Genomic DNA, 25,569 nt, shown 5'->3' with positions numbered 1-25,569 from the left:
CAAAGTCAGGGGTTTCTCACCTCCCAAGGTTTGGGAATTCTTAAACTAACTCAAAGAACTCAGGAAGTTCCTATAGCCATGTAAACCAAAAAACATCTGAGACAGGTATCAATCAGTTTAGAAGTTTATTTTGCCAAGCTGAAGATGTACCTTGGAAACAGAGACACAAATTATTGTAGCATCTGTGGCCCATGCTTTTTACTAAGAGGGTTTTGAGGACTTCAATATTTACAGGAGAAAGAGCAGGCAGGAGAGGAAAAAGGAACAGGCAACTATGCTTTCATCGAGTGCTCAGTAAATCTGCATTTTACATAAGACAAAGTAAATGTTGGGTAGAGAAGTCAAATACACATTTGTCTCCAGGCGAGTGGAGGGATGATTTCTGGTCTTGTCTTTGTCCTGTACCTGTGAAGATAAGCTGTTAATTTACATTGTTAGGGTGAAATTCAACAAAACTCTGTTTTAGAGTAAAGATGTTGGGGCCCACAAGGAATTATCTTGTGAACAATTTGTGAGGGAGGCCACCTGGGGAGATATGTGGTCCTCAATCTTTGCAGTTATTTGTTTAGGAACAAAAGAAAGGCAGTTTTTCCATCACTCAGTTACCAAACTTAACTTGTCCCTTTGGTATAGTGAATTTGGTGTCCCTAAATTTTATTTTTCTTTCACACTCAGTATCGTAGTTTATTATTGTTATAGCTTAAATCAGTGGTCCCCAACTTTTTGGCACCAGGGACCAATTTCATGGAAGACAATTTTTCCATGGACCAGCAGAGGTAGCAGGGAATAGGGGGGAATGCATTGAGGATGAAACTGTTCCACCTCAGATGATCAGGCATTACTGTTTCATATGGAGCATGCAACCTAGATCCCTCGCATGCAGAGTTCACAATAGGGTTCATGCTCTTATGAGAATCTAATTCCGCCACTGATCTGACAGGAGGCGGAGCTCAGGTGGTCATGCTCATGCTCTCTCACCCACTAGTGACCTGCTGTGCGGTCTGGTTCCTGCCAAGCCAGGAACCTGTACCAGTCCACAGCCGGGGGTTACAGACTCTTGGTTTAAATTATGCCACTATAGTAGAACACCTGAGACTGGATAACTTAAAATGAACAGAAATTTATTTTGTTCATGGTTGTTGAGGATGGGAATTCCAAGACCAAGGACTGTACCTGGTAGAAAGCAAAAGGGCAAGAGAGGGTGAGAGGTAGGGGGAATAAGAGGTCAAACTCACAGCCTCAGGTCCTTTTATGATCAGACTTAATTCATTAATGGGGGCAGAGCTCTGATGGTCCAATCACCTCTCGAAGGTCCCACCTCTTAAAAATGTTGCATTCAGGATGAATTATCCAACAGATGCTTTTCTAGGGAAACATTCAAACCATAGCAGTTATAAAGGGTACAAATGAGCAGCCAGATGAAGAGGTGCATAGGGTGAGGCCTGGAAGGGCTCTGAGCACAGGAGCCTCTGTCCCCATGGAGATGAGGTTCACCATCCTCCCAGCACATGGACACACGGATGTACTCACCAGTTGGGAAGCTCTCCGAAACCCAATCTCTAGAGGTTTCTATGGAAGTTTCATTGTGTACGCAAGATTAATTAAATCAATGGCCACTGGTGACTGAACTCAACTTCCAGCCCCTCTTTGCTTCTCAGAGGTAAGAGATGGTGCTGAAAGTTCCAATCCTCTAATCACAGCTTCATGTTTCTGGCAACCAGCCCCCATCCTGAAGCTATTTAGGAGCCCCTCACCCCATAGTCATCTCATTGGCATATTAAAGTCATACTTATCACTGAGGAGATTGCAAATGTTTTGGAACCTGCTTGTCAGGAAACAGGGAAAAAGACCAAATATTTTGATTGGGCCACAGATCACACCCTGGTCTTTGACCACATTATCTCTTTTTATAATATTTATTTATTTCAGAGACAAGGTCTTGCTCTGTTGCCCAGGGTAGAATGCAGTGGCACAATCATAGCTCATTGTAACCTTGAATTCCTGGGCTCAAGTTATCCTCCTGCCTCAGCCTCCTGAGCAATAGCATTACAGGTGCACACCAGCATGCCCAACTAATTTTTTAAAGATTTTGTAGGAATGGGGTCTCACTATTTTGCCCTGGTTGGTCTCAAACTCCTGGCCTTAAACAATCCTCCTACCATGGCCTCCGAAACTGATGGAATTACAAGTCTGAGCCACTGTGCCTGGCCAATCACAGATCTCCTATACCAGAAGAATCATAACAGTGAGAAGATCCTGGTACATTACCAGAATCCTTTTTGGTCATGAACAATTATCCCAGGGGAGATCATTCCAAGATAACCAAATAGGAACCGCTCCAGTCTACAGCTCCCAGCGTGAGCGGTGCAGAAGACGGGTGATTTCTGCATTTCTAACTGAGGTACTGGGTTCATCTCATTGGGACTTGTCACACAGTGGGTGCTGCCCACAGAGTGTGAGCTGAAGCAGGGCAAGGCATTGCCTCACCAGGGAAGCACAAGGGCTCGGGGAATTCCCTTTCCTAGCCAAGGGAAAACATGAGAGATTGTACCTGGAAAATCGGGACACTCCCACCCTAATACTGTGCTTTTCCAACAGTTGTAGTGAATGGCACACTAGGAGATTATATCCCACGCCTGGCTCAGTGGGTCTCACACCCATGGAGCCTTGCTCACTGCTAACACAGCAGTCCAAAATTGAACTGGGAGGTGACAGTGAGGCTGGGGGAGGGGCGTCTGCCATTGCTGAGGCTTGACTAGGTAAACAAAGTGGCAGGAAGCTCAAACTAGGTGGAGCCCACTGCAGCTCAACAAGGCCTGCCTGCCTCTGTAGACTCCACCTCTGGGGGCAGGGCATAGCTGAACAAAAGGCAGCAGAAACTTCTGCAGACTTAAATGTCCCAGTCTGACAGCTTTGAAGAGAGCAGTGGTTCTACCAGCATGGAGTTTGAGATCTGAGAACGGACAGATTGCCTCCTCAAGTGCGTCGCTGACCTCTGAGTAGCCTACCTGGGAGACACCTCCCAGTAGGGACCGAATGACACCTCATACGGCCGGGTGCCCCTCTGAGACGAAACTTCCAGAGGAAGGATCAGGCAGCAACATTTGCTGTTCTGCAATATTTGCTGTTCTGCAGCCTCTGCTGGTGTTACCCAGGCAAACAGGGTCTGGAGTGGACCTCCAGCAAACTCCAATAGACCTGCAGCTGAGGGTCCTGACTGTTAGAAGGAAAACTAACAAACAGAAAGAATAACATCAACAAAAAGGACATCTACACCAAAACCCCATCTGTAGGTCACCATCATCAAAGACCAAAGGTAGATAAAACCACAAAGATGGGGAGAAACCAGAGCAGAAAAGCTAAAAATTCTAAAAATCAGAGCACCTGTTCTCCTCCAAAAGATCGCAACTCCTCCCTAGCAATGGAACAAAGCTGGATGGAGAATGACTTTGACAAGCTGACAGAAATAGGCTTCAGAAGATTGGTAATAACAAACTTCTCCGAGCTAAAGGAGGATGTTCGAACCCATTGCAAGGAAGCTAAAAACCTTGAAAAAAGATTAGATGAATGGTTAACTACAATAAACAGCATAGAGAAGACCTTAAATGACCTGATGGAGCTGAAAACCATGGCATGAGAACTACATGACGCATGCACAAGCTTCAGTAACCAATTCGATCAAGTGGAAGAAAGGGTATCGGTGATTGAAGATCAAATGAATGAAATGAAGCGAGCAGAGAAGTTGAGAGAAAAAAGAGTAAAAAGAAATGAACAAAGCCTCCAAGAAATATGGGACTATGTGAAAAGACCAAATCTACATTTGATTGGTGTACCTGAAAATGACCGAGAGAATGGAACCAAGTTGGAAAACACTCTTCAGGATATTATCCAGGAGAACTTCCCCAACCTAGCAAGGCAGGCCAAACTTCAAATTTGTGAAATACAGAGAACACCACAAAGATACTCCTCAAGAAGAGCAACCCAAAGACATATAATTGTCAGATTCAATAAGGTTGAAATGAAGGAAAAAATGTTAAGGGCAGCCAGAGAGAAAGGTCAGGTTACCCACAAAGGGAAGCCCATCAGACTAACAGTGGATCTCTTGGCAGAAACTCTACAAGCCAGAAGCGAGTGGGGGCCAATATTCAACATTCTTAAAGAAAAGAATTTTCAACCCAGAATTTCATATCCAGCCAAACTAAGCTTCATAAGTAAAGGAGAAATAAGAGCCTTTACAGACAAGCAAATGCTGAGAGGTTTTGTCACCACCAGGCCTGCCTTACAAGAGCTCCTGAAGGAAGCACTAACATGGAAAGGAACAACCAGTACCAGCCACTGCAAAAATATGCCAAATTGTAAAGACTATCGATGCTAGGAAGAAACTGCATCAACTAACAGGCAAAATAACCAGCTAACATCATAACGATAGGGTCAAATTCACACATAACAATATTAACCTTAAATGTAAATGGGCTAAATGTCCCAATTAGAAGACACAGACTGGCAAATTGGATAAAGAGTCAAGACCCATCAGTGTGCTGTATTCAGGAAACCCATCTCATGTGCAGAGACACACATAGGCTCAAAATAAAGGAATGGAGGAAGATCTACCAAGCAAATGGAAAACAAAAAAAGCAGGGGTTGCAATCCTAGTCTCTGATAAAACAGACTTTAAACCAACAAACATCAAAAGAGACAAAGAAGGCCATTACATAATGGTAAAGGAATCAATTCAACAGGAAGAGCTAACTATCCTAAATATATATGCACCCAATACAGGAGCACCCAGATTCATAAAGCAAGTCCTTAGAGACCTACAAAAAGACTTAGACTCCCACACAATAATAATGGGAGACTTTAACACCCCACTGTCAACATTAGACAGATCAACGAGACAGAAAGTTAACAAGGATATCCAGGACTTGAACTCAGCTCTGCACCAGGCAGACCTAATAGACATCGACAGAACTCTCCACCCCAAATCAACAGAAAATACCTTCTTCTCAGCACCACATCGCACTTATTCCAAAATTGACCACATAGTTGGAAGTAAAGCACTCCTTAGCAGATGTAAAAGAATAGAAATTATAACAAACTGTCTCTCAGACCACAGTGCAATCAAATTAGAACTCAGGATTAAGAAACTCACTCAAAACCACTCAACTACATGGAAACTGAACAACCTGCTCCTGAATGACTACTGGGTACATAACGAAATGAAGGTAGAAATAAAGATATTCTTTGAAACCAATGAGAACAAAGACACAACATACCAGAATCTCTGGGACACATTTAAAGCAGTGTGTAGAGGGAAATTTGTAGCACTAAATGCCTGCAAGAAAAAGCAGGAAAGATCTAAAATCGACAGCCTAACATCACAATTAAAAGAACTGGAGAAGCAAGAGCAATCACATTCAAAAGCTAGCAGAAGACAAGAAATAACTAAGATTAGAGCAGAACTGAAGAAGATAGAGACACAAAAAACCCTTCAAAAAATCAATGAATCCAGCAGCTGGTTTTTTGGAAAGATCAACAAAATTGATAGACCATTAGCAAGACTAATAAAGAAAAAAAGAGAGAAGAATCAAATAGACACAATAAAAAATGATAAAGGGGATATCACCACCGATCCCACAGAAATACAAACTACCATCAGAGAATACTGTAAATATCTCTATGCAAATAATCTAGAAAATCTAGAAGAAATGGATAAATTCCTGGACACATACACCCTCCCAAGACTAAACCAGGAAGAAGTTGAATCCCTGAATAGACCAATAATAGGCTCTGAAATTGAGGCAATAATTAATAGCCTACCAACCCAAAAAAGTCCAGGACCAGATGGATTCACAGCCGAATTCTAACAGAGGTACAAAGAGGAGCTGGTACCATTCCTTCTGAAACTATTCCAATCAATAGAAAACGAGGGAATCCTCCCTAACTTATTTTATGAGGTTGGCATCATCCTGATACCAAAGCCTGGCAGAGACACAACAAAAAAAAAGAGAATTTTAGACCAATATCCCTGATGAACATGGATGCAAAAATCCTCAATAAAACACTGGCAAACCGAATCCAGCAGCACATCAAAAAGGTTATCCACCATGATCAAGTGGGCTTCATCCCTGGGATGCAAGGCTGGTTCAACATACACAAATCAATAAACGTAATCCAGCATATAAACAGAACCAAAGACAAAAACCACATGATTATTTCAATAGATGCAGAAAATGCCTTCAACAAAATTCCACAGCCCTTCATGCCAAAAACTCTCAATAAACTAGGTATTGATGGGACATATCTCAAAATAATAAGAGCTATTTATGACAAACCCACAGCCAATATCATACTGAATGGGCAAAAACTGGAAGCATTCCCTTTGAAAACTGGCACAAGACAGGGATGCCCTCTCTCACCACTCCTACTCAACATAGTGTTGGAAATTCTGGCCAGGGCAATCAGACAAGAGAAAGAAATAAAGGGTATTCAATTAGGAAAAGAGGAAGTCAAATTGTCCCTGTTTGCAGATGACATGATTGGATGTTTAGAAAACCCCATCATCTCAGCCCAAAATCTCCTTAAGCTGATAAGCAACTTCAGCAAAGTCTCAGGATACAAAATCAATGTGCAAAAATCACAAGTATTCCTATACACCAATAACAGACAAACAGAGAGCCAAATCATGAGTGAACTCCCATTCACAATTGCTTCAAAGAGAATAAAATACCTAGGAATAAAACTTACAAGGGATGTGAAGGACCTCTTCAAGGAGAACTACAAACCACTACTCAACGAAATAAAAGAGGACATAAACAAATGGAAGAACATTCCATGCTCATGAATAGGAAGAATCAATGTTGTGAAAATGGCCATACTGCCCATGGTAATTTATAGATTCAATGCCATCCCCATCAACCTACCAATGACTTTCTTCACAGAATTGGAGAAAACTACTTTAAAGTTCATATGGAACCAAAAAAGAACCTGCATTGCCAAGACAATCCTAAGCCAAAAGAACAAAGCTGGAGGCATCACACTACCTGACTTCAAACTATATTACAAGTCTACAGTAACAAAAACAGCATGGTACTGGAACCAAAACAGAGATATAGACCAATGGAACAGAACAGAGCCCTCAGAAATAATATCACACATCTACAAGTATCTGATCTTTGACAAACCTGACAAAAACAAGAAATGGGGAAAGGATTCCCTATTTAATAAATGGTGCTGGGAAAACTGGCTAGCCATAGTAGAAAGCTGAAACTGGATCCCTTCCTTATACCTTATACAAAAATTAATTCAAGATGGATTAAAGACTTAAATGTTAGACCTAAAACCATAAAAACCCTAGAAGAAAACCTAGGCAATACCATTCAGGACATAGACATGGGCAAGGACTTCATGACTGAAACACCAAAAGCAATGGCAACAAAAGCCAAAATTGACAAATGGGATCTAATTAAACTAAAGAGCTTCTGCACAGCAAAAGAAACTACCATCAGAGTGAAAAGGCAACCTACAGAATGGGAGAAAATTTTTGTAATCTACCCATCTGACAAAGGACTAATATCCAGAATCTACAAAGAACTTAAACAAATTTACAAGAAAAAATCAAACAACCCCATCAAAAAGTAGGCAAAGGATATGAACAGACACTTCTCAAAAGAAGACATCTATGCAGCCAACAGACACATGAAAAAATGCTCATCATCACTGGTCATCAAAGAAATGCAAATCAAAACCAAAAGGAGATACTATCTCACACCAGTTAGAATGGCAATCATTAAAAAGTCAGGAAACCACAGGTGCTGGAGAGGATATGGAGAAATAGGAACACTTTTACACTGTTGGTGGGAGTGTAAGCTAGTTCAACCACTGTGGAAGACAGTGTGGCAATTCCTCAAGGATCTAGAACTAGAAATACCATTTGACCCAGCCATCCCATTACTGGGTATATACCCAAAGGATTATAAATCATGCTACTATAAATGCACATGTATGTTTACTGCACTATTCACAATAGCAAATACTTGGAACCAACCCAAATGTCCATCAGTGATAGACTGGATTAAGAAAATGTGGCACATAAGCCGGGTGCAGTGGCTCACACTTGTAATCCCAGCACTTTGGGAGACTGAGGTGGGTGGATCACGAGGTCAGGAGATCGAGACCATCCTGCCTAATACAGTGAAACCCCGTCTCTACTAAAAATACAAAAAAATTAGCTGGTCATGGTGGCGGGTGCCTATAGTCCCAGCTACTTGGGAGGCTGAGGCAGGAGAATGGCATGAACCCAGGAGGCAGAGCTTGCAGTGAGCGAGATTGCGCCACTGCACTCCAGCCTGGGCGACAGAGCAAGACTCCATCTCAAAAAAAAAAAAAAAAAAGAAAAGAAAAAAAGAAAATGTGTCACAAATACACCATGGAATACTATGCAGCCATAAAAAAGGATGAGTTCATGTCCTTTGCAGGGACGTGGATGAAGCTGGAAACCATCATTCTGAGCAAACTATTACAAGGATAGAAAACCAAACACCGCATGTTCTCACTCATAGGTGGGAATTGAACAATCAGAACACTTGAACTCAGGGTGGGGAACATCACACACCAGGGCCTGTCATGGGGTGGGGACAGGGGGGAGGGATAGCATTAGGAGAAATACCTAATGCAAATGACGAGTTAATGGGTGCAGCACACCGACATGGCACATGTACACATAGGTAACCAACCTGCATGTTGTGCACATGTACCCTAGAACTTAAAGTATAATAAAAAAAATTGTCCCGTTGCAGCCCAAAAACAGGAGTAGTCTCAGCAACATATGGCTGCACCCGTTCAGGCATTTGGTAAAATTGAGTTAAGAGACAATATCATCTCTTGCTTATATCTCTTTTGAGTAGTTCATGTAACATTGGATTTTCCTCATTGCATAACCCATTTATTCATTCATTTACCCTCAGCTACTATTTCTCCTTCTCTTCATTTATACCAAACATTTCTAGTTATGGAAGGGACATGAGGTTCTGCTGCTGTGCTGACCTAGACTGCAGGGACCAATACTGTTCTAGCAATTGTCTTGCATCATCCATTCCAGTTCATAGAGGGTAGGGTTATGCAGTAGAGAACTGGTTGGCTATCTGACCCTAGGCAATACAGCTGCATTCAGTGTTAACCCCAACTTTGCCAGATGCAGTGAAGGCACAACCTACTTCTCCAGACCCTTAGGAATCATTACATAATGGACACAAAATATATTTACAGTTTCTTGCTTAGGAATAATTCCTGTTTCTGGACTTTTATTTGCATCCCTAGTCCTGAGACTACTGCATCAGGTATGAGAAAAGCAAGTTGAGGTAAAGTACAGTCATCATTCCAGTGTCCTCCCACCTTGGGAAGGATTGTATATAGATCACACCAGCACCTTCCCCTGATCCACAAGGAAAAGAGAGGATACTTTCATATCAAGTGTAAGCACACTCATGAAGGTGTGTAAGCCCACCCTTCATGCTTGTTTCCCCACTCTTGCTTTATACAACCAATGTTTCAATGGAATATTTTAATTCTCTATGGAACTCTTCCTCTGAGAAGGATGTCTTTCTGACATTTTGAGCAAGCGCATTTTCTGGTGTAAAGAAATGTGACTCAGTGGTCCACATGGTTGCAGTACCTCCCATTCAAGCTCTTAGTAGCACTCCAAGCATTTGCATCTGAGATAAAGCAGGGACCTCTCTTAGAAGCCTGCCAGGGCCTCCCAACATGGAAATAAAGAAAAACCTTCAGTTCCTTCAAAAGAAATTCCAGGCACCTAGCCAGCCCTAAAAATTAAGTGAGTGACCTTATAAACAAGAAGGTAATGATAGCTTAAAACGATAGCCAAGGAAGTTAGAGTCACAAGATGTTGGATTCTCTATGGAAACTAAAGAGAACATCTTAACATATGTCCCTGAGTTGTTTTTCAGAAACTCGGATTCCCACCTAATAGATCCACTGACCTCAGATAAGGGGAAACTGAGGACTGAACTCTGACCACTGTTCTTTGTTCTAAATTTCTTCCTGAGGGGCCTGGAGAGAGTAAAGCCCACAGGCCAGGCCTGAACATTCCTCTCTACTGCCCCCAACTGTGTAAGGAAGCTTTGCTTCCTTATGAATCGCAAATCAGAGAATCTTTTATCTCTATCTACGACTTGTAAGCTCCCTCATCAGGATATTCCTCCTTTTAAGGCCAAACCAGTGTGTAACTTCTATGCATTGATTTATGATGTTGCCTGTAACTCTGCTTTCCTGAAATTTACCCCTGTCTTTAAGAAACCTTGCTTGTGAGCCATTGAGAAGGTTGGGTCTTAACTGTAAGCTAGCTGATTCTCCTTGCTTGGCACCCTACAAATAAATGCCCTCCTTTCTCTCACTACAAAATCTCAGTATGGATGTTTGTTTTTACTGCCCCAGGTGAGTGGACTCCAGTTCAGTTTGGTAGCACATCTACCACCAGCTGAGCAATGCCCAGCTCCAGGGTGCATATCTATTGCTGCCAAGACCCATTTGCTGCTTCCTGGGTCTACTGGTATCAGTGTAACTTGCCAGCTCTGTATTTTCAAGATCTTCCCATAAGAGAATCTGCCACATAGCCATATGCTATCTCTGTCTCTCTCTCTTTTTTTTTTTTGTTAAAGAAAACACTTATATGTATTTTATGCCTGTGACGTGGGGAATGCAAGAGGAATATGCCTTGATTCCACCTCTCTCTGCATTGCTACAGCCCCAGTGTCTACTTACTTCATGGACCTAGGTGATCACCGCAAGCAAACGTGGATTTTTGTTAGATGTGGTCTTGATATCTTTCTCTGGCTGAACTCAAATGCTGCTCAGGCCAAACTCTAACTCCTGGACTCAAGATATCCTTCTGCCTCAGCTGCTCTCATAGCTGGAATTACAGGTGCACCTGGCAAACACTTGGAGATAAATGCTTGTTTATTTCAATCACCTTCCAAACCTGGAAGGGAGTTATTCTGATGGGCATTGATGGGCACTGAGGGGACGGTGCTAAACCATTCATGAGAAACTGCCCCCGTGATCCAATCATCTCCCTGCAGGTCCCACCTCTAATGCTGGGGATTCCATCCAACATGAGATTCGGGCAAGAACAACATCCACTCTATATCAGGCATCAACGTGTCTTACATTAATGAACCTCTCAAATTACCATCGTGATTTCCATAGGACTGTGTCTCATTTGGGCACTCTTTTCATCGGCAAGTTTTCCTTTGCTTTCCTGATTAATTATATGGCCAGGCCATTAGTCACTGCCTGTAAGTCAATAAAAACTAAAACATAGGAGCTTTATTATTGTTCAATTCTTCCACCACTGCTGAGAAACATCCTGCAATTCAGCCCACAAGAGTTGTTCTGTTTTTATCTTCTTCGATCAAAGCGGTGGACTTCCAAACAGGATGTTGTCCATTCATCTTCCAAATGCTGTACACAAACCAACCAGCTGTTTGAGATCAGTTGACGGATATTGCAGTTCAAATCCCAGCGCTTTCTGCTGCAGAGTTCCATCTTGCTCAGAGAAGGTCAATGTTTTGTTTAATTTACACCTTCAATGAATTGAATGAAGCCCACCCACATTACAGAGATCAATCTACTTTACTCAAAGTCTAGTTATTTTGCATTAATGTTATCCAAGAAACATTCTCACAAATCATCCAGAATAATGCTTGATCACCTATCTGGGCATTGTGGTTCAGCCAAGATGACAAATAAAATTAATTATGACATTCTTCAATTTAAGAATATTCTGAGGAAATTAGCCTTTGTCCTAATAAAACAAGGAACAAACAACTGTTTCTAAAAATTTTCAACCAACAGTCAAAAAGCCATTCCTATAGATTGTTGCTCAAGTTCATTCTATAACTGTGGGTGAAAAAAACATGTATTTGTTGAAAACAGAAGGAGAGAAAAATGAATAAGCAGAAAGTAAAAAAAAAGACATGAGAATAATAATAAAGATGACAGCCGTTATTTCACTGGAAACAATGCAAATGAGAAGACAGATGAGCAACATCTTTAAAGTCCTAAAAGGAAAATACTGTGAAACTAGATTCTATTCCCAGAAAATAATACCTTTCTAAAACATATATATGTATAATTTAAATTGACAAATCATAATACATTCATGAGATGTTTTGTGATGTACTGATATATGTATACCATGTGTAATGATTAAATCAAACTAATTAACCAATTAACATACCATGAATATAGCTATCGAAAAATAGATTTTAGTTATATAGGGAGTGAAAAAAGTTATAACTAGCAGATCTAAACTATAATAAATGTTTTTCAGTCCTTCAGGCAAAAAGAAAATTAAGGGACTAGTTGGCACAGCATTTAATGATGAAAAGACAGCTTCATTTCCTTTTTCCACTGAGACAGAGAACACAGCCCAGGGTCCTGGGAATTGCTCAACCCAATCCACCACTGTGGACACCTGAGAACTCCTCCTGGGTAACTGAGGTTGGGTGCTATCACCTTAGCTGTCACCTACCTGCAAACACCACCTATGGGCATTCCACCCAGCCTATCATAGCTACTGCTAACATTAATGCACACTTTTTGGGACCAGTAGTTCTCTTTGCAGACATCTTTTACCTCCCAAATTAGCATTATTCCTAGGTATTGTATTCCTTTTGTGGCAATTGTGAGTGGGAGTTCATTCCTGCTTTGGCTCTTGGCTTGCCTGTTGTCGGTGTGTAGAAATGCTAGTAATTTTTGCACGTTGATTTTGTATCTTGAGAATTTGCTGAAGTTGTTTATCAGCTTAAGAAGCTTTTGGACTGAGGCTATGGGTTTTTCTAGTTATAGAATCATGTCATCTGCAAACAGGAATCATTTGAATTCCTCTCTTCCTATTTGAACATCCTTCTTTTTTTTTTTTTTTTTTAATTTCACTTGCCTGATTGCCCTGGTCAGAATTTCCAATACTGTGTTGAACAGGAGCAGTGAGAGAAGGCATCCTTGTCTTGTGCTGATTTCAAGGAGAATGCTTCTAGTTTTGCCCATTCAGTATGAAGTTGGCTGTGGGTTTGTCATAGATGGCTTTTATTGTTTTGAGGTATATTCCTTGAACACCTAGTTTATTGAGAGTTTTTTTAAAAACATGAATAGAGTTTGAATTTTATGAAAAGCCTTTTCTTCATCAACTGAGACAATCATGTAGTTTTTGTCTTTAGTTCTGTTTATGTGATGAATCACATTTATTGATTTGCATATGTTGAACTAACCTTGCATCCTGGCGATGAAGCCTACTTGATTGTGATGGATAAGGTTTTTGATGTGCTGCAGGATTCGGTTTGCCAGCATTTTGTTGGAGATTTTTGCATTAATGTTCATCAAGAATACTGGCCTGATGTTTTCTCTTGTTTGTTGTTGTTGTATCTCTGCCACATTTTGGTATCAGGATGATGCTGGCCTAATAGAATGAGTTAGGGAGGAGTCTCTCCTCCTCATTTTTTGGGAATAGTTTCAATAGGAATGGTACCATCTCTTCTTTGTACATCCAGTAGAATTCACCTGTCAATCATCTGGTCCTGCACTTTTTTTTTTTTTTTTTGGTAGGCTCTTCATTACTGCCTCAAGTTCAGAACTCATTATTTTTTCAGAGATTGCATTTCTTCCTGGTTCAGTCTTGGGGGCGGTGTATGTGTCCAGGAATTTATCCATTTCTTCTAGATTTTCTAGTTTATGCGCATAGAAGTGTTCATAATATTTTCTGGTGGTTGCTTGTATTTCTGTGGGGTCAGAGGTAATGTTCCTCTTATTGTTTCTGATTGTGTTTATTGGAATTTTCTCTCTTTTCTTCTTTATTAGCTTAGCTAGTGGTCTATTTTATTAATTTCTTTTAAAAAACCTCCTGAATTTATTGATCCTTCAAATGGTTTTTTGTGTCTCTGTCTCCTTCAGGAGACAATACTTTTGTTAATTTTTTTTTGTTATTTCTTGTCTTCTGCTAGCTTCGGGATATGTTTGCTCTTCATTCTTAAGTTCTTATAGGTTTGATTTTAGGTTGTTGACTTGAGATCTTTCTAACTTTTTGATGTGGGCATTTACTGCTATAAATTTCCCTCTTAACACTGCCTTAGCTGTTTCCCAGAGGTTCTGGTTCATTGTATCTTTTTTCTCATTAGTTTCAAAGAACTTCTTGATTTCTACCTTAATTTCATTATTTACTAAAAGTCATTCAAGAACAGGTTATTTAATTTCTAAGTAATTATATGGTTTTAGTGAATTTCTTATTCTTGATTTTGAATTTGATTGCACTGTAGTCTGAGAGACTATTTGTTATGATTTCAGTTCTTTTGCATTTGCTGAGGAGTGTTTTACTTCTGATTGTGTGATTGATTTTAGAGTAAGCGCCATGTGGCAATGAGAAAAATGTATATTCTGTTGTTCTGGGGTCCGGAGTTCTGTAAATATCTATCAGGTCCATTTGCTCCAGGGCTGAATTCAGGTCCTGAATATCTTTGTTAATTTTCTGTCTTGATGATCTGTCTAATATTGTCAGTGGGGTATTAAAGTCCACCACTTCTACTGTGTGAGGTTCTAAATCTCTTTGACGGTCTCTAAGAACCTGCCTTATAAATCTGGGTGTTCCTCTATTGGATGCATACATATTTAGGATAGTTAGATCTCTTCATTGAATTGAACCCTTTACCATTATGTAATGCCCACCTTTATCTTTTTTTATCTTTCTTGGTTTAAAGTCTGTGTTGTCAGAAACTAGGATTGCAACCCTGGCTTTCTTCCGCTTTCCATTTGCTTGGAAAATTTTCCTCCATCTCTTTATTTTGTGCCTATGTGTGTCATTGAATGTAAGATGAGTGTATTGTAGGCAGCATACTGATAGGTCTTGGTTCTTTATCCAGCTTGCCCTTCTGTGTCTTTTAAATGTGGCATTTAGCCCATTTACATTTAAGGTTAGTATTGATATGTATGGATTTGATCCTGTCATCATGGTGTTAGCTGGTTACTTTGCAGACTTGCTTATGTGGTTGCTTTATTGCGTCACTGGTCTATGTACTTCAGCTTGTTTTTGTAGTGGCTGGTAACTGTCTTTCCTTTCCATATTTAGTGCTTCTTTTAGGAGTTCTTGTAATGCAGGTCTGATGGTAATGAATTCCCTTGGCATTTGTTTGTCTGAAAAGAATTTTATTTCTTTTTTGCTTATGAAGCTTAGTTTGGCTGGATATGAAATTGTGGGTTGGAAATTCTTTTCTTTAACAATGTTCAATACTGGCCCTCAATCTCTTCTGGTGTGTAGGGTTTCCACTTGGAGGTCCACTGTTAGTCTAATGGGCTTCCCTTTGTAGGTGACCTGGCCTTTCTCTCTGACTGCCCTTAACGTTCTTTCTTTCATTTCAACCATGGAGAATCTGATGATTGTATCTTGGGGATGATCTTCTCATGGAGTAACTTACTAGTGTCCTCTGCATTTCTGAATTTGAATGTTGGTCTGTCTAGCTAGGTTGGGAAAGTTCTCATGGATGATATCTTGAAGTGTGTTCCAAATTGATTCCATTATTCCCATCTCTTTCAGGTATACCAATAATTCATGGATTCAGTTTCTTTACATAATCTGATGTTTCTCAGAGGTTTTGTTTGTTCCTTTTCATTCTGTTTTCTCTATTCTTGTCTTCCTGTCTTATTTTAGAAAGCCAGTCTTCAAGCACTGAGAGTCTTTCCTCCACTTGTTCTATTCTGCTGTTAATACTTGTGAGTGCACTATGAAATTCTTTTAGTGTGTTTTTCAGCTTTATCAGGTTGGTTTCATTCTTCTATAATACTGGCTGTTTTGTCTGTCAGCTCCTGCAATGTTTTATCATTATTTTTAGCTTCCTTGGATTGGGTCACACTGTACTCCTTTAGCACAGTGAACTTCTTCCCTCTCCATATTCTGAATTCTACTTCTGCTCTTTCAGTCATCTCAGCTTTAGCCTGGTTCCAAACCCTTGCTGGCTTTTTGAGTTTTCAGCATTGTTGTGCTGATTCTCATCTTAGTGGGCTTATCTATCTTCATTCTTTGAGGTTGCTGATCTATGAATGGGTTTTGTTTTTCTCTTCTTTTGTTTTCTCTTTCAATAGTCTGACCACTTTTCTGTAGGGCTGCTGCAGTTTGCTGAGGGCCTGCTCCAGTCCCCAGTTGCCTCAGATTTTCCAGTAACTGGAGATATCACCAGTGAAAGCTACATAACAGCAAAGATGGTAGTCTGCCTTTTCCTTTGGGAGCTCTGTCTCAGGAAAGTACAGACCTGTTGCCAGCCCAAACACACCTGTAGGAGGTACTGGAGACCCTGGTTGGGAGGTCTTGCACAGTCACGAGGAATAGGATCAGGATCTAGAGGTTTACCAAAGGGAGGAATACTCCCTCAGGAGACACAGAAATTATTCCATTGAGCTGGAAGCTAAGACACCCACCCGGGCCCTTCAGCTCCTCATGTTACTGAATCAACAGACAAAGGAAGGAGTTACTGCACTTTCTGGGGTGATTGGTCCTGGTCATCAGGGGGAAATTGGTCTGCTACTACACAATGGCAGTAAATAAGACTATGTTTGAAATACAGGAGATCTTTTAGAGCATCTCTTAGTAATACTCTGCTCTATAATTAAAGTCAATAAAAACTACAACAACCCAAGTCAGGCAGGACTACTAATGACCCATGCCCTTCAGGAATGAAGGTATGAGTCACCCAAGCAGGAAAAGAAACCTGATCAGCTGACGGACTTGCTGAAGGCAGTGGGACTATGGGATGGTTAGTGAAAAAAAGCTATTTACACTAGTTGTGACCAGCACAGTGGCTCATGCCTATAACCCCAGCACTTTGGGAGGCTGAGGCAGGTGGATTCCTTAAGTCGAGGAATGTGAGACCAACCCGGGCAACATGCTGAAATTCCATCTCTACTGAAAATACATACAAAAAATTAGTCAGACTTGGTGGTGTGCTTGCAGTCCCAGCTACTTAGGAGGTTGAGGTAGAAGGATCACTTGTGCCCAGGAGGTGGAGTTTGCAGTGAGCCAAGGTAATGCCACTGCACTCCAGCCTGGCAACAGAAGAAGACCCTGTATCAAATAAATAAGTAAATAAATAAATAAATAAATAACCAGCTGTAACCATGTGATCAGTTGCAGAAATAAAGACAGTAAATGTTATAAGCATTTCTTCCTTATGTTTTTACAATGATATTTATGTCTGTGTGTATGTACCCATACACGTACTAAGCAAATACCTTTGTTTTCATCTTTTCCTTATCATCTTGTAATAAAACATAAAATGTGCTAATAATAGTTCCCTTTTATTAATGATGGTTCAACTTTTTTTAAACATGGTGTTTAGGTTACAGTATATCGAAGAGAAAAATGCTTATCATGCATTGAGTTTGAATTTTTTTCTGAGGAAATGGTTAGTGTTTTTAGATGGATGCAAGATAGCTGTATCATCTTTAGCAAAAGTATGACTTTATAATTGTTTTTATTTGGAGACTAAGTATGGTTTAAGAAAACGTTAATGGGTGCCAAGTTCACAAGCATGGACTAGGGTGGTGGGTATTTTTTTTTTTTTTTTTTTTTTTTTTTTTAATTTATTTTTTTATTGATAATTCTTGGGTGTTTCTCACAGAGGGGGATTTGGCAGGGTCATGGGACAATAGTGGAGGGAAGGTCAGCAGATAAACAAGTGAACAAAGGTCTCTGGTTTTCCTAGGCAGAGGACCCTGCGGCCTTCCGCAGTGTTTGTGTCCCTGATTACTTGAGATTAGGGATTGGTGATGACTCTTAACGAGCATGCTGCCTTCAAGCATCTGTTTAACAAAGCACATCTTGCACCGCCCTTAATCCATTTAATCCTGAGTGGACACAGCACATGTTTCAGAGAGCACAGGGTTGGGGGTAAGGTCACAGATCAACAGGATCCCAAGGCAGAGGAATTTTTCTTAGTGCAGAACAAAATGAAAAGTCTCCCATGTCTACTTCTTTCTACACAGACACGGCAACCATCCGATTTCTCAATCTTTTCCCCACCTTTCCCGCCTTTCTATTCCACAAAGCCGCCATTGTCATCCTGGCCCGTTCTCAATGAGCTGTTGGGCACACCTCCCAGACGGGGTGGTGGCCGGGCAGAGGGGCTCCTCACTTCCCAGTAGGGGCGGCCGGGCAGAGGCGCCCCTCACCTCCCGGACGGGGCGGCTGGCCGGGCGGGGGGGCTGACTCCCCCCACCTCCCTCCCGGACGGGGCGGCTGGCCGGGCGGGGGGCCGACCCCCCCACCTCCCTCCCGGACGGGGCGGCTGGCCGGGCGGGGGGCCGACCCCCCCACCTCCCTCCCGGACGGGGCGGCTGGCCGGGCGGGGGGCCGACATCCCCACCTCCCTCCCGGACGGGGCGGCTGGCCGGGCGGAGGGCTGACCTCCCCACCTCCCTCCCGGACGGGGCGGCTGGCCGGGCGGGGGGCCGACCCCCCCACCTCCCTCCCGGACGGGGCGGCTGGCCGGGCAGAGGGGCTCCTCACTTCCCAGTAGGGGCGGCCGGGCAGAGGCGCCCCTCACCTCCCAGACGGGGCGGCTGGCCGGGCGGAGGGCTGACCCCCCCACCTCCCTCCCGGACGGGGCGGCTGGCCGGGCGGGGGGCCGACCCCCCCACCTCCCTCCCAGACGGGGCGGCTGGCCGGGCAGAGGGGCTCCTCACTTCCCAGTAGGGGCGGCCGGGCAGAGGCGCCCCTCACCTCCCAGACGGGGCGGCTGGCCGGGCGGAGGGCTCACCCCCCCACCTCCCTCCCGGACGGGGCGGCTGGCCAGGCGGGGGGCTGACCCCCCCACCTCCCTCCCGGACAGGGCGGCTGGCCGGGCGGGGGGCCGACCCCCCCCACCTCCCTCCCGGACGGGGCGGCTGGCCGGGCAGAGGGACTCCTCACTTCCCAGTAGGGGCGGCCGGGCAGAGGCGCCCCTCACCTCCCAGACGGGGCAGCTGGCCGGGCGGAGGGCTCACCCCCCCCACCTCCCTCCCGGACAGGGCGGCTGGCCAGGCGGGGGGGCTGACCCCCGGGTGGTGGGTATTATGTGTCAATTTTACTAAACCATAGTGTCTAGTTATTTAATCAAACACTAATTTATATGTTGCTATGATGGTGTTTTGCACTTGTGGTTAAAATCTTATGTCAGTTGATTTTATGAAAAGGAAATTACCCTCAAAAATGTGGGCGGGACTTTTTGAATCAGTTGAAGGCCTTTGGGCAAAATGTGAGGCTTCTCAAAGAAGAAAAAATTCTGCCTCAAGATGACAGTAGCAACTACAGTTTAGATTTCCAATCTGCCAGCCTGGTTTACAAATTTTAGACTGAAGACTGCAACATTGTGACTTTCCAGCCTGCTAGCCTGCAGAGGAGTAATTTGTGACATCAATAATGTAAAATGAGGGGTGGAAAAAGATGTAAAGAAGCAGAGTTTCATACTGGTTTCAATTCAAAATTGTTATAGTTGTATTGTTATGTGCAATACCATAGTAATCACAAAGAAAATATACATAAAATATACACAAAAGAAAGTGAGAAGGCAATTAAAACATATCACTAGAAAAAAAATCGACTAAACACAAAGGAAGGTTGGAATGAGGAAGATAAGGGATGAAACAGCTATAAGACATGCATAAAACCATCACAATTACAGAGGTAAGTCCTTCTTCATCAGTAATTACTTTAAATGTAAATGGATTAAACTCCCCAATCAGAATTGAGATTATCACAATGGATATAATAAAAAGATTCTAACCATATGCTGGCTACAAGATACTCACTTTGGATCTAAGGACACATACAAGTTGAAAATGAAAGGATGGAAAAGGATATTCCTGAAAATAGTAACTAAGAATTTTTAATGATTTCTCATAGGGTTCTATGTGTTTGCTGGGCTCAGATGATGGCCTTGGAGTTTAACATGGTTCAGGCATTGAAGTGGAAGGAACCAGATGCAGGCAGGATGGTTAATAGCAGTGCCCAGAACTGACACAACCACGTTTCTGCCCTATTTTATTGGCTAACGCAGATATCAGATCTGCTCATGTTTAAGGGGATGGAGAGAACTTACCTCTTGATGAGGGAATGGTGGATCAAACTAAAGAAAACAAAGTGTGATGGAAGATACTTTTGCAGCCGTCTTTGGAAAATACATACAATCCAAAACATCCTATCGGCCAGAAAGGAAGAACACCATCACACCTTACCCCTCCAGTCTAAGCCCTGTGATTCTGTAGTATCCTGGGGAAGGACCATGTCTTAGGAAGCAGATGCGGAGTCAAAGCTCTAAATAAAACCCCATCTACAGCCACAATTTCACTTTATTTTGATGAAATTTTGTGTCATTTTCGATAAAATGGGGGCTCACAAATCTCTCTTCAGGGATCTCTCCAGTGGCGGGGATGATATGCTTCCTTCTCCACAGTTCTACTTTACAGATAAGTGGGTCTAGGTCTCAGTTTCAGTTATTTAAAACACCAGAGACTTGGATGCATGCATGTCACAAAAAGGTGAAAGAATGCTCTGTCACTTTCCCTTCTCTCGCTCACTGCGCCCTGAACAAGAACCTGCTCTACCTTGACCTTTTGAATGGGGAGGAGGGTCGCACTCCTGACTAAGCTTCATGCTTCCAGAGATAAACCTGCTACCCCAAAAGCATAGTTTATTATAAAGACCAAACCCTACACCAAGAGCTCTCCCTTCACCTACCAGGGCTGAAACTGAATCCCATGGAAAGGCCCAGAGAAATTGTGGCTCAAAATGTCCAGTGTCATGTCCCTTCTGCCAAAATGAAGCCAACATATTCATCACAATATGGGGTATCGATAAGGATATCAAAATGATTACCACAAAAATTTCACAAATATATTCTTTTTATTACATCAACTTTTTTGTCCTACAAATATAAAGAAAATAAGCCTGCATAGCAGGAGAAGTTTTTCCTCTGGGAGAGAATCCTCTTCCCAATGAAAAAGCTGGAGCCAGAATCACTAGAATGGAGCAAACTTTCAGGAATGACACAGCACTGCGTCTTGGGGCAGCCAGAGTTAGGGAGGGCTCACCTTCTGCGTGACACCAACCTTTGGCTGTCTTTTTTTTTTGTTCTCACTGCAAGAACAAAATTTCAGAGTATTAAGAGACAGAGTTAAGCCGAAGAGATTTACTCTGTTTTACTCTTTAGAAAACGCAATCTCGGCCAGGAGCGGTAGCTGGCGCCTGTAATCCCAGCATTTTGGGAGGCCGAGGTGAATAGATCACCTAAGGTCAGGAGTACGAGACCAGCCTGGCCAACATGGTGAAACCCCATCTCTACTAAAAATACAAAAATTAGCTGGGCGTGGTGGCAGGCATCTGTAATCCCAGCTACTCGGGAAACTGAGACAGGAGAAATGCTTGAACCTGGGAAGCGGAGGTTGCGGTGAGCCGAGATCGTGCCACTGCACTCCAGCCTGGGTGACAGAACAAGGCTCCATCTCAATAAAAGAAAAGAAAACAAAAGAAAGAGAAGAAAGAAAAAGAAAGAAAGAAAGAAAAAGGAAGGAAGGAAGGAAGGAAGGAAGGAAGGAAGGAAAAGGAGTCTCCAGGTTAATCCAGACTGTTATGGGCTAAATTGCATCCCTCCAAAAATTGGCATGTTGGTGTCCTAACCCCCAGTACCTGAGAAAGTGACTGCATTTGGAGAGGTCTTTAAGGAGGTCATTAAGGTAAAATGAGGTCATATGAGTGGGTCTTAATTCAATGTGACTAGTGTCCTTATAAAAAGAGAAGATTAGACATAGACAGATGCAGAGGAATGACCATGTAAAGACACAGGGAAAACACATCTACAAGCCAAGGAAAGAAGCCTCAGAAGAAATGTGCACTGCCAACACCATGATCTTGGACTTCCAGCCTCTGGAACTGTGGCACAATAATTTTTCTGTTCTTTACGTCACCCAGTGTGTGGTACTTTGTTATGGCAGCCCTAGCAAATTAAAACAAACATATTACCCTGCCTAGTATCTGGACATGAAATTTTTTCAAGATTATGAATTATCAGGGATTTCTAAGAACTGAGTGAATCAATTGAAACTTGACAAGTGTAGATGATAAAGGGTCATTTACAAACCACTTTGGGTCCCATGGTCACCACTCAAAAATGGAGATATCCCCATTTCTTTTCAGTTTTACTCAGAACAAAGCTTGTGGTTCCAATCTGATATATAATCATCATCTGTATTTAAGTTTCTTGAGATGTTGAAGGAATGAGTTTTCCTCTAATTTTCTAGAAGTTATGAGAAATAATTATTTTGTAATCATTACTGAAGTAAAAGAGGATTTTTGCCCAGGGCTTTGCAGGTATTATGTGCTTTCTTCCTACTTTTAAGGATCATGTTTCTTAAAATCCCGAGCTGATGGTCAGGCACGGTGGCTCACACCTGTAATCCTAGCACTTTGGGAGGCTGAGGCGGGTGGATCACCTGAGATCAGGAGTTGAAGACCAGTCTGGCCAAAATGGTGAAACCCTAACTCTACTAAAAATACAAAAAAATTAGCCGGGCATAGTGGCACAAGCCTATAGTTCCAGCTACTTGGGAGGCTGAGGTAGGTGAATTGCTTGAACACAGTGGGGAGAGGTTGCAGTAAGCAGAGATCGTGCAATTGCATTCCAGCCTGGGCAACAAGAGTGAAACTCCATCTCAAAAAAAAAAAAAAATCCTAAACTAATGTTTCTCTCTGCATTTACCCCTTAGTACTGGGGCGACACTCACTGCATCTCAGTAAGGATGAAATGTGTTTTCATTTATTCTCACTAGAATGGATGTGTTTATCCATGACTCACAGATGAATTAACAAGCACCAGGACTTGGAGAGATTCTCCTGAGGTCACAGCCGTTGAGTGGTGGAGCAGTGACAAGCACCTGGCACCCTTGGTCTAGTCCAGTATTCTGGGTGCCACAAGAATTGCAGAATTGCAACCTTGATTTTTATACATTTGGTTATTTTCTCTTTTTTTATTTCCTTTTTGTTGTTGTTGTTGTTGTTGTTGTTGTTGTTGTCGAGACAGGGTCTCACTCTATCACAGGCTGGAGTGCAGTGGCACAATCTCAGCTGGCTGCAACCTCCACCTTCCGAGTTCAAGTGATCCTCATGCCTCAGCCTCCTGAGTAGCTGGGATTACAGGTGCATGCCACCACATCTGGCTAATTTTTGCATTTTTGGTAGAGATGGAGTTTCATCATGTTTGCCAGGCTGGTCTCGAACTCCTGACCTCAGGTGCTCCTCCCACCTCAGCCTCCCGAAGTGCTGGGATTACAGGTGTGAGCCACCACGCCTGGCCATTTGGTTATTTTCTTAACCAGAGAAGGAAAATGCATGGTGAAAATAAAGTGCAAGAGCCCTAGGCCCTTGCCTTAGATTTACTGGGATGGGGGATGGAGAGAGAGAGGCTGCCACTGTTTCTCTGAATTCCAGCTCCCAGTGTTGGTCACTCAACTGAGAGCAGGAAAATTCACCTTGTGCACTTGGGGCATCAGGACAAAGATGACAGGGAGTCCCACATCTACCACGAAAGAGAAAAGGGTCCCTCCTGCCTTATGAATCATGTCCCAGTTTTCTAATTGCATGTGCTTTCCTGCACACATAATGATTTCTCCTTCCTTCAAGCACCAGTTGTCACAGGGCAAATACAGCAACAGCAGAAAGGAATTGCTACTGAGCCTGATGCTCTGATGGAAGCTCTGAGTGGAGACTTTATTTCACATGTAGGTGCCTCTGAGTCAATGCAGAGTTTTGCCTGACTCCACTCTAGCTCCAATTCGATCAAGGTCTATATGCTCTGGGACCTCTCCAGTTCCTCATCAGACATGACAAAGAATGCCACATGTCCAGCTCCTGGGGTGCCTGATGGCAGTGAGAGGCAGCTCCTAATTGGGGGAGAGCTTTGGGGTTACCAAGGCCTCACAGACTTCATTACTGTTGGGCCACGTGGCTTCAGTCCCGTGACCACAATGGGTTCATGAGCCTGGATTCACCTCTGACATTCGTGTCTTTTTTTCTTGGGCTTTCACAAGTGGCCTCTGGTTGAGATGGGGGGAAAGGAAACAGGGATTCAAAATCTCTGACTGCCCAGTGGCCTCCCCTCACTTCCACTCAGAGACAACATGGCCATTTCGCTAAATTCCTGAAGACGCGGCCAATATAAGTAACAGAACACAGAGAGTTGCCTTGAACAGAGTTCCATGGAAGGGTGGCTGGTGCCCTCTAGACTCTTTGTCTACACTTGCTGGGCTTTCTTTAGCATGAAATGTCCCAGAGACAGCCACATTCTAAGCTTGGATCCTCAAAGCAAAGGGTGTGAGGGCCTTATCCCTGGCCAAATGAGCACTGAATTTGAGAGAGACCAGGAAACCTTCTAATTATTGGGACACTTTACTCCTGAATCCTGAATCCTGGAAGTTGGTTTCTGGCCAGGGAGGCAGGTGTCTTTATATCTTGTCTGTCTCTGTGAGGCCTCTTGTCCCTCTGCCCTTCCCATCTTTCTACCCCCGTTAATCCCAGAACAGATAGAAACATTCTGCCTTCTTTGATGCCTCTTGCTATAAACTTCAATGGCTTTTGATTGAATTAATAAGTGAAATCAACTTTAATAAAACATGAGGTTTAAAGAATGGCATTTGACATGGGTTTAGAATGAATAAATGGATCAAGTAATGAATTTTGAGAAAATGCATGTAAAATTTATCTTTAATTCCCAATGGCATTTTATTAACTTGACTGTGGAATTAATAAATGATTCTAAATCAATACCAAAACGTGCAATCACAAATGTGTGAATGCACAGAAGTGTGAATGAAGGGCAGTGCACACAAGAAAAAAAGATGTGCACATGAAGAACTTCTTCATTCCAGGTTTTTACTGATCCCTCTAGTCAAGATGGGATAAGAGTCCAAAAATATGCTTTCCTCACATGGTCAAATGATTCAGCATAAAATACAACTGATTGAACACAATTATCTATGCTTTAAATATATTAGAAAAAATCCATAAGGAAAAATGATCCTACCATCACTAAGATTTTAATTTATAATAAAATAAAGCCTAGAAATGTATCTTTTGTTCCCAATTCCAATGATTATAGGATTTCAGTGTTTGGCTTTGATAAGACCATTTAAAACAACTCAGGGAAGTTTTCTTAACAAACTCTATAGCAGGACCACAGCTAAACCTATGAGCATTAGTAGAAGTAAACAATGACACTGCCTTTAAAATTTCACTTTGAAAAACATGTTTGAAAGTGGCTGACTGGCTCCTAATTTAACTATCATTCGAGGTCATATGTTAGATTGGCAAAGTTGTTGTAATTTGTATGTATTTTATTTTTGTAATGCAAGTGCTTCACTCTACTATCAGATAAAATAAAATGTTAAGCTGGACATGGTGGTGCACACCTGCAGTCCCAGCTACTCAGGAGGCTGAGTGGGAGGATCCCTTAAGCCCAGGAGTTCAAGGCTGCAGGAAGCTCTGATGGT

At 42.4% G+C, this 25,569-nt stretch overlaps 9 annotated features.

Annotated features, from left to right (window-relative positions):
- Nucleotides 1,477-1,978: an enhancer, noted in NCBI's record as "OCT4 hESC enhancer chr6:31228743-31229244 (GRCh37/hg19 assembly coordinates)". NCBI's record gives its function as "activates a minimal SCP1, AML or CMV promoter by ChIP-STARR-seq in primed H9 embryonic stem cells {active_cell/tissue: H9 hESC(primed)}" and the evidence as "EXISTENCE:reporter gene assay evidence [ECO:0000049][PMID:30033119]".
- Nucleotides 2,482-3,088: an enhancer, noted in NCBI's record as "OCT4 hESC enhancer chr6:31227633-31228239 (GRCh37/hg19 assembly coordinates)". NCBI's record gives its function as "activates a minimal SCP1, AML or CMV promoter by ChIP-STARR-seq in primed H9 embryonic stem cells {active_cell/tissue: H9 hESC(primed)}" and the evidence as "EXISTENCE:reporter gene assay evidence [ECO:0000049][PMID:30033119]".
- Nucleotides 7,678-8,354: an enhancer, noted in NCBI's record as "OCT4 hESC enhancer chr6:31222367-31223043 (GRCh37/hg19 assembly coordinates)". NCBI's record gives its function as "activates a minimal SCP1, AML or CMV promoter by ChIP-STARR-seq in primed H9 embryonic stem cells {active_cell/tissue: H9 hESC(primed)}" and the evidence as "EXISTENCE:reporter gene assay evidence [ECO:0000049][PMID:30033119]".
- Nucleotides 8,723-9,342: an enhancer, noted in NCBI's record as "OCT4 hESC enhancer chr6:31221379-31221998 (GRCh37/hg19 assembly coordinates)". NCBI's record gives its function as "activates a minimal SCP1, AML or CMV promoter by ChIP-STARR-seq in primed H9 embryonic stem cells {active_cell/tissue: H9 hESC(primed)}" and the evidence as "EXISTENCE:reporter gene assay evidence [ECO:0000049][PMID:30033119]".
- Nucleotides 9,343-9,962: an enhancer, noted in NCBI's record as "OCT4 hESC enhancer chr6:31220759-31221378 (GRCh37/hg19 assembly coordinates)". NCBI's record gives its function as "activates a minimal SCP1, AML or CMV promoter by ChIP-STARR-seq in primed H9 embryonic stem cells {active_cell/tissue: H9 hESC(primed)}" and the evidence as "EXISTENCE:reporter gene assay evidence [ECO:0000049][PMID:30033119]".
- Nucleotides 12,270-12,771: an enhancer, noted in NCBI's record as "OCT4 hESC enhancer chr6:31217950-31218451 (GRCh37/hg19 assembly coordinates)". NCBI's record gives its function as "activates a minimal SCP1, AML or CMV promoter by ChIP-STARR-seq in primed H9 embryonic stem cells {active_cell/tissue: H9 hESC(primed)}" and the evidence as "EXISTENCE:reporter gene assay evidence [ECO:0000049][PMID:30033119]".
- Nucleotides 16,560-17,061: an enhancer, noted in NCBI's record as "OCT4 hESC enhancer chr6:31213660-31214161 (GRCh37/hg19 assembly coordinates)". NCBI's record gives its function as "activates a minimal SCP1, AML or CMV promoter by ChIP-STARR-seq in primed H9 embryonic stem cells {active_cell/tissue: H9 hESC(primed)}" and the evidence as "EXISTENCE:reporter gene assay evidence [ECO:0000049][PMID:30033119]".
- Nucleotides 17,596-18,345: an enhancer, noted in NCBI's record as "NANOG-H3K27ac hESC enhancer chr6:31212376-31213125 (GRCh37/hg19 assembly coordinates)". NCBI's record gives its function as "activates a minimal SCP1, AML or CMV promoter by ChIP-STARR-seq in primed H9 embryonic stem cells {active_cell/tissue: H9 hESC(primed)}" and the evidence as "EXISTENCE:reporter gene assay evidence [ECO:0000049][PMID:30033119]".
- Nucleotides 22,793-23,294: an enhancer, noted in NCBI's record as "OCT4 hESC enhancer chr6:31207427-31207928 (GRCh37/hg19 assembly coordinates)". NCBI's record gives its function as "activates a minimal SCP1, AML or CMV promoter by ChIP-STARR-seq in primed H9 embryonic stem cells {active_cell/tissue: H9 hESC(primed)}" and the evidence as "EXISTENCE:reporter gene assay evidence [ECO:0000049][PMID:30033119]".

The sequence above is a fragment of the Homo sapiens genome, chromosome 6, assembly GCF_000001405.40.
Source record: "Homo sapiens chromosome 6, GRCh38.p14 Primary Assembly".
Lineage (NCBI taxonomy): Eukaryota > Metazoa > Chordata > Mammalia > Primates > Hominidae > Homo > Homo sapiens.
This window is presented reverse-complemented; position numbering and strand designations above follow the sequence as displayed.